We start from the raw sequence: 8,362 nt of genomic DNA, 5'->3' as shown, positions 1-8,362 counted from the left end.
CATGAGATATGCTGGTTTTATAAAGGTCAGTTCCCCTGCACATGCTTTCTTTGGCCTGCCTCCATGTAAGATGTGCCCTTGCTCCTCCTTCACCTTCTGCCATGATTGTGAGGCCTCCCCCAGCCATGTGGAACTGTGAGTCCATTAAACCTCTTTTTCTTTATAAATTACCCAGTCTCAGGTCTTTCTTTTTTGTTTTGTCTTGTTTTGAGAAGGAGTCTCACTCTGTCGCCCAGGCTGGAGTTCAGTGGTGCAATCTCGGCTCACTGCAAGCTCAGCCCCCTGTGTTCACGCCATTCTCCTGCCTCAGCCTCCCAAGCAGCTGGGACTACAGGCACCCACCACCATGCCCGGCTAATTTTTTTTGTTTTGTTTTGTATTTTTAGTAGAGACAGGATTTCACCATGTTAGCCAGGATGGTCTTGATCTCCTGACCTCATGATCCACCCACCTCAGCCTCCCAAAGTGCTGGGATTACAGGCATGAGCCACCACACCTAGCCTAGGTATTTATTCATAGCAATGTGAGAATGGAGTAATACATCATATAAACACCCTACTTAATAAGTTCAAAACAAGAATAGCATAATGAGTAGCAAAAGACCAAATAAAGCAGAAAGAAGAAAATAGTAGCTAGACAAGCATGAACTAAGGGCTGAGAAAAGCTGCACACAGCAAAAATTCCACACTGCCATGACACTATTCCATGAGAAGATTAAGAAAATTGTTCAAAACAACATGTTGTAAATCATAAATATACACAAGTTTTGTCAATTAAAAATTAATTTTAAAAAGAAAATTTTAAAAAGAAAAATAAAATTGTTTAACTTCTACAGGATAAAAAAATAAGTGAGAAGACACAAGCAAAGTGGGTATATCTCCATGCTACAGTGCCTAAAAATAATACTATGTATAACTGCTTGCCAAAAAATAAAAAGATAGGAAATGGACAAATTCCTAGATAAAATATAATTGTAGAAATTACTTTTAAAAAATAAAACCTGAATAACTCTATTAAATAGAGCAAATTAATTGTTGAATATCTCCCCATAGAGTACAGCATGCCTAACAACTTTACCAGACAGTTCTAACAAATTATGAGAGCAAATAATTCTTGACTTAAACTATCTCCAAGAATGTACTTGCCAATTCATTATAATTTCAGCAAAACTTTGATACCAAAGCTAGACAAAAACAATATGTGAAAGAAAAAGGCTCAAGTCAATCTTATTCACTAACAGGGATTTGAAAATAATTTTCAAAAATTGAATCTGAAATGTATAAAAAACTAAATAAAGTATGACCAAATTGGATTTACGCTAGGAATACAACACTGATGTCTCATTTAAAAATCTATTAATGTAACTCATGGTATAACAGAATAAATGACAAAACTCACACGACTACCCCAATAGATGCAATTAGAGAATTTAATAAAATTCAATATCCATTAAGGATAAAAATTATGAGCCAGCTAGGATCAATCTAATAGAAGGTTTTTTAAAAATTGCTTCAAAACAAGTCAGCAGTAAAATGTTTGAAACATTCCCTTTAAGAGCAAGAATAAGACAAGAATATCCACTGTTACCACTTTTATTTAATGCTGAACTGTAAAATGAAAAACTAAAAAGTTATAAAAGGATATAAAAGAAACAAAATTGCACATAAAAAGGCCAAAATAATCAACAGTTAAATTATTAGAATTAATAAGGGTTTAGCAAGATTACTGGACATAAAATCAATATACAAAAGACAATGCTATTTCTATAACCAGTAATAAACGTTAGAAAAGATAAACTTATGATTCTCCACAGCAACAATAACAAAAATACCAAAGAAAAACATCTAACAAAAGATGTGCAAGATCTTTATGGAGAATATTAAATGCCATTGAAAGATATCGGTCATCTTTTTGGGAAGTATCTTTGTGAATATTGAGGATATCTTTTTTTCATGATATATTTTAATACATGAAATATCTAATTAATTGAGAGAAATATTCATGATCATGGATAGGAAACATAAATTCTTCCCAATTTGTCTCTCTTTAAAGCAGTCTCTATCAAAATTCCAACAGACTTTGGCCCAACTTACAAAGCTAATTATTAGCAGATAAAGACAGACGAAAGTTCAGAAATAGCTAAACTTTTATGAAGATCAATAGCAGGGACTATGGTCGTCAAGGCAACTGGGGGAACTGCCCTAAGAGAGACCACATTTATAAAACTATAGTAACTAAGGTGGTGTGGGTTTGATGCAGTGAATAATACAGACCAATGAAACAGAGAAGAAAGTCACAGAACACAGCAGTGAGTATATTAAAATTCAATTTATGACAGAGCTACAATTGCAAACTAAAAGGAATGAGACAATTTTTCATTATGCATATGAAAGAAAATGCCATTGGATCCCTACCTCAAATCATGCACAAAATCTACTCCAGTGCAATTAACAATCTTAGTGTGAAATCAAGGCATACGAAATGCAAAAGGCAATATTCCCCCTTATCCACAGGTGTTAACCAGGAATACTACCAACCCCTATATATACTATGTTTTTTTTCCATACATGTGCACTTATGATAAAGTTTAATTTATAAATTAGGCACAGAAAGAGTTTAACAGCAATAACTAATAATAAAACAGAACAATATACTGCAATAAAAGGTAAGTGTGGGCTCTCTCTCTCTCTCTCTCTATTTCTCTCTCTCTCTCTCTCTCAATATCTTAATGTTTCGGACTGCTGGTAACCGGAACCACAGAAAGCAAAGCTGTGGCTAAGGGGAAACTGCTGAATAGAGAAGTATCTTCATGAACTTCAGGAAAAGATGAGGTTCTATCTTCTCAGCCTGGGGTCTTTCTTCTATGCATTCTCTCCCCCAGTTTATCTGACATTCTGAACCACTGAGGGGAAAGGCAGTTCTGGTAGAAAAGGGAGATAGATCAGTACAGAAAACACTGAATTGCCTGGGAGTGAAAAAACAGACCTTAAGTCCGACATTGTTTTCAAATAACTACAGTTTCCAAGAAAGGAGCCACAAAGAGCCACAGTGTCCGTGACTGAAAGAATGCACCCAATACTGGGCAAGTGCTGACAGTGAGAAACCCTCTCCCCAGGCTCCAAGAACAGATGGAAGCCTCACAGAGACAGCGTCTTGCAAGTGTCATCTTAACCTGCGTGACACCAAAGTGCTCAGTGTTCTTCTGTTCTTGATCTCAATCTTCGTTTTTTTTAATATTGCTTTTTCATTATTATTTAACAGAATAGTTACTGCTGTTTTAAAATTTACACTAGTTTTTAAACAGTGATTTTGTATGCCTTTGACAGTTTTATCTTATTTCTGACAGGCAAATATTTGTTTTTTGGGGAGGAGAAGAGCATGTGAATCCTGCTTTTCTATCCCCCACATTGTCATGAATGGGATGATAGACATAAGTTTAAAAGAATGGGGCCGAGGGTATAAGTTCTATCCTGGAGAAGACAAGGGTCAGAAACAATTCCCTCAGAGGCTGATGACTAAGCCCATGATTCAAAGACAAGCAGAAGGTAATGTGGTAAAGTGAATTGACGCAAGTGTTTGAGACCAAAGAGATTTCAGGAAATGAACAACGTTAGACAAGTCCCAGGGCAAGAACAAACATCTGAGGTAAACGAAGGTACAAAACACGTGGCTCGCACAGATCTGGATTCAAATCCTAGCTCCAAAACTCACCATCCTTGTGATCTAATGTGAGTGACAGTGACCTCTGAAGTTGATTCCTCAAGGATTTTATAAGGATTACAAATAACACATGCAAAATACCTGGTACGTACTGGATAGTCCATCCATGTTAGCTATGACTATTACTATTAGTAAGGTGTAGCAATACCTATTTTTCTCCACATGCTTGGACAATTACCAGGCCTTAGTCCCTAGTCACTTCATCATTAGTAATTTAATAGTGTATCTTTTCCTCAATGGTTCACATTTCCACACTGGTATAATGTAGCTCCCTTATGTGACTGGGCTTATCTCAGGGCTCTACCTACTGTTCCAATTTTTGGCTTCTACCCATGTACCAGTACCATACTTCCAAACTGGTTCAGCTTTATCATCTCATGGGGTCTAATGGAATAAATCCTTGTTCTTCGAATTGTATGGAATATTTGTGGCAGGTTATATTTTACACACACACACACACACACTCACACTCATCCATACACATGACGTCCACACCACATGTTGCTGACACTACTTCCACCAGCAGACAGGTGCATATTCCCTTCCCTTGAATCTGTGCAGGGTCCTTTGACTAACACCCATTGCAGAGTGGTGCAAATGATGTGTTTGTGACTTCTAAACCTACGTCACAGGAGGATACAGCTTCAGCCCGGCTCTTTCGGGACACACGGCTTCAGAGCCGAGCTGACATGTAAGTCCGGCCACCCTGATGGTGTGGGAAGATGACCTACAGAGAGGGAAACAGCCAAGGAGCACCACCCCCCACCCCTGCCCGGTACAGTCCTCCCAGCCAGGGCACTGGGCACATGAGTGAAAGTGACCTTAGATCATCCCAGCCAGCAGCCTGGAAGTCCTAGAGCTGATGCCAAGGAAAGCAGAAATGAGCTGTCCCCACCAGTCCCTGCCCAGATCTAATGTGAGTGACATATCCTCTAAAGTTGATTCCTCAAGGATTTTATAAGGGTTACATGGTAAAGGTTTTGCTGCACTGAGCTTTGGGGTCATTTGTTACACAGCCCTAGTAACAGGAACAATATTCTGGGCCTTTCACTGCTCCATCAGCTTATTAAATTACAGAAGAAAAAAAAGCCCTTGGAAAATGTTTAATAGAATTGCTTTGAATTTGAGACAAACACAAACATCTTTCCAATACTGAGTCTTCCTGACATGATGTGCAATACGCCAAATTCTTCTTTGTATCTCTCAAAGTGATATATGCTTTCTTCTCTTTTAATCGTTTAATAAGTTACATCTATACTTCTAGTTGCAAACAACTCAGCATTCCCATGATAATCCCACCTTTGTCAGCCTACACTTTTATACATGTTTCTGGATTTGATTTGCTAATATTTTATTTGAGATGTCTCAGTCTATATACGTAAAAGAGGTATATAACTTTTTATTCTTCTCTGATTTTGATAAAAGGTCATATAAAGCACATCAAATGAATTGGTTCATATCTCTTGTTATTCTGCTCTCTCAAAATTGGGATGTTGGATGCCTTAACTATTTGCTGGAACTTGCATACAGAAGCCATTAGGCCTGGTGATTGGGAGAGGTAATTTGTTTTTGGAGCAAATTTAAACTACTAATACAATGGCTTTAATGATAGAAGTATGTTTGTCTATTCTTGTTTCACATTGGGTAAATTTTTACTTTTCTAAGTAAATGAAAACATTTCATTTTTGTATTATTACTGAACAATGGTTTACCTAGATATAGAATTCTATCTCTTATATCTACTATTGTTTCTTGTTGACACTGCTGTCCTTCTAACTGCAGCTTTTACCTATTCTCCCTTCTAACAGTGTGTCTTTGGAGTTCTTCTGTTTCATTAGCACATATTCAGATGCAGACCCTTCCTTGGGCTCATTGAAATAACAGAATCCGAATGGCCATGGCTGTCTGCACGCTGCATGCTCTGCGTTCCTCCTGCTCTGCACTGAGTTCCGTTGGATGTACATTTGATCATCTCGCTGCCCACGTGTCCCAGGCTCGCTCTGGTACTTCCCATCTCTCTGTGCTCTGCAGTGCATTCTGTGTAAGTTTCCCGGTTTCACATTTCACATCACCAATTATTCATTTCACTTAATAATCTGATCAGATTTTTTTTCTGTTTCAGTGAGTTTACATTTTATTTCTAAAAGTTCTGTGGCTTATCTTGCATGCTTTATTACAATTCCAAGACGTCTTTGACATATTTAAACATCCTTCAGGATTGGATCCTGTTGTTTTTCACGTTTGACTCTTTGCGCTCTCTTCCTGTTTTGTAATTTTGGATTGCATGCCTACTGTGCTTCGCTTCATCTAGGATGTACTGCGCACTCTCAGCTGAGGATCTGTGCCTCCAGGCAGTTTGTGTTTCCTTCTGCCAGGCAACCAGTAGTATCTCCAGCCTCTATTACTTTTGTGTTATTTTCTCAGGCCAAGGATTCTCATGTCATGTAGAAGGAATAAAGTCAACCTCTAATCTTCATGAGGATAGGCTTATGGCTACAAAATCTCAGGGAAGTTATTTTTCATCCCCAAACCTAGATCAAGAAAAACAATGTTCCTTCATTTTCCAATTTTCTATTTCAAAATTTTTCAAACTTCCAGAAAAGTAGGAAGAACAGTATGATTGCACATATACCCACTCCCTGGATGATTAATATTTTGTCATAAAGGTCTCATCTATACATTCAACTCTATGTATACATATTTGCTGAACCACTAGAAAGTAAGTTGTAGACACCATAACACTTTAACCCTGAATACTTCTGCATGCAAATTCTAAGAATAGAATATTCTGACAATATTATTACATTTGAGAACATTAACAAAAAATTCTTAGTTTGATCTACTATCCAGTCTATATTCAATTTCCCCAATGGCCCACAAAGGGTCTTAGGGTCTTCTGTACTTTGGTTTTTGTTTTTTTTTCTTAACCAGATTCCATCAAGTTTTACACACTATATGTGGTTGTAAATAATCTTTACTTTTATCTCCTAATGAAGGAAGGTGGGTTTATTTTTAGTTCATCTTTTCATGAGGCTTCATTCAGAGATAAGAAATCCATTTCCCCACTGTGCATCAGCCCCGGACGTCACTTGTTTTCCCTGAATTAGCATTGCAGCCAAAGGCCCAAAGGAGCAGGTGGCAATCACTGCACCCTCCAACCCCTATCTCAGGACACCTGGGCACAAGGTGGTGCTGTCATTCTGGGGGTCAATTTCCTCTTCCGTTTTGGCCCTTGGATATTTTCATTTCATTTCCTGAGATCTCAGCTACTCACTAAGAATTCAATATTTAATTAAATATTTCTAAGTATTTCATAGGTAGCCCTCCCCACTGCCTTGTCTGTGACCTCTTTTTTTTACCCCCAGCACCTAACACCATACCTGACACATTCAGGAGTACCCCAAGTGTTTTTTGAATGGAACAGATTAAATGAAATCATACCCTTATTTTATCATGATTAAATCCACATGTGCCCACTTTAAATTTTTTTTTTACTGTCAATTACTTTAAATCCTTAGTTCCAAACTAAAGAAGTGATTTTGAAGAAATAGGACCTACACCTGCCTATACCCAGACATTCTACTCTATCATCATCTATGGTTATTGACAGCATGGCCTAGACCTGCAGAGGGCATCCATTCCAGTAAGCTAATCTCAGATCAATTTTCCTATAGAACATAGATTGTTGATATTCTCAGATGCAGAGGAAAAATACATTTTTGTTTTATTAAAATTGCCAGGTCAGCAGCCCTAGCTCACTTTGTATCCTAATACACACAAACCAAGGCATGCACTTAATTTTTTATTATTTGAATCATTATGCTATTATTTCACAATAGCATAGTGCCTCTGAGCTTTGCACTTAAATGGCGTCTGAGTTCAAAAGCACATCATACTGAGTTTGATCCTCAAGGCTCCAAATCAGAAGTCTCCCCGGGTTGGACACAAGAGCAGCGCACTCATTTTAGCAGCTGCACCCATCCTGGAGCGCAAGCTTGCCTTTTATCAGGCACTGTGAATGCTTGAATACCAGGTATAAAGTCTTGACAGATTTTCCTCACACGTCTACAAGGACTGACAATTCCAAATAAGTATGGTTCTTCAAAGCAATTGCCTTTCTTTAAAAATTTTGCTTGGGATCTTTATTTTTCAATTTCCTTTACAGTCACACACAAATATATATGGGTCTCGTGACTATTTTAGTTCCAGAATGCCTTCACTTAACTCCCTACCTCTCTTGTCCTCTTTCGTTTCTTTCGTTTTTGCCTCTTTCCTAAACCCTTACCCAGCTGTCAAAACAGCTGTGGTGGGTGGAATTTGCTGCACTGGCAGACACCGAAGACTGTGGGATGAGGCAGAGAATTGAGAGCTGGGAGGTTCCTCGGGGCCCTTCATGAAGCAAGTCCATTGATACAAGCACACTCCTGCACCACCCACCAGCCTGCATGAGCTGTACGTGGAGACATGGGTGCAACTGACTGAGAGTGTGAGTGGGACCAAGCAGAGGGCGAAAGGCCATACCATGAGTTCTGCCTGCCGGGAGCCCCATCTGGAATGCACTGTTATCTGAAATGGGATTCATTTTGGGAAACACCACGGGCTGGAGGTGCTGTTGCTTGTGTTGGCATAGCCAAACCCACTT

The 8,362-nt window shown here is 38.5% G+C and overlaps 1 annotated feature.

Annotated features, from left to right (window-relative positions):
• Positions 2,828-4,027: an enhancer, noted in NCBI's record as "MED14-independent group 3 enhancer chr2:4033381-4034580 (GRCh37/hg19 assembly coordinates)". NCBI's record gives its function as "activates an origin of replication core promoter dependent on BRD2, BRD4, P300/CBP and CDK7 cofactors, and independent of MED14, by STARR-seq in HCT116 cells {active_cell/tissue: HCT116}" and the evidence as "EXISTENCE:reporter gene assay evidence [ECO:0000049][PMID:35650434]".

This window comes from Homo sapiens, chromosome 2 (genome assembly GCF_000001405.40).
Source record: "Homo sapiens chromosome 2, GRCh38.p14 Primary Assembly".
Classification (NCBI taxonomy): Eukaryota; Metazoa; Chordata; class Mammalia; order Primates; family Hominidae; genus Homo; species Homo sapiens.
This window is presented reverse-complemented; position numbering and strand designations above follow the sequence as displayed.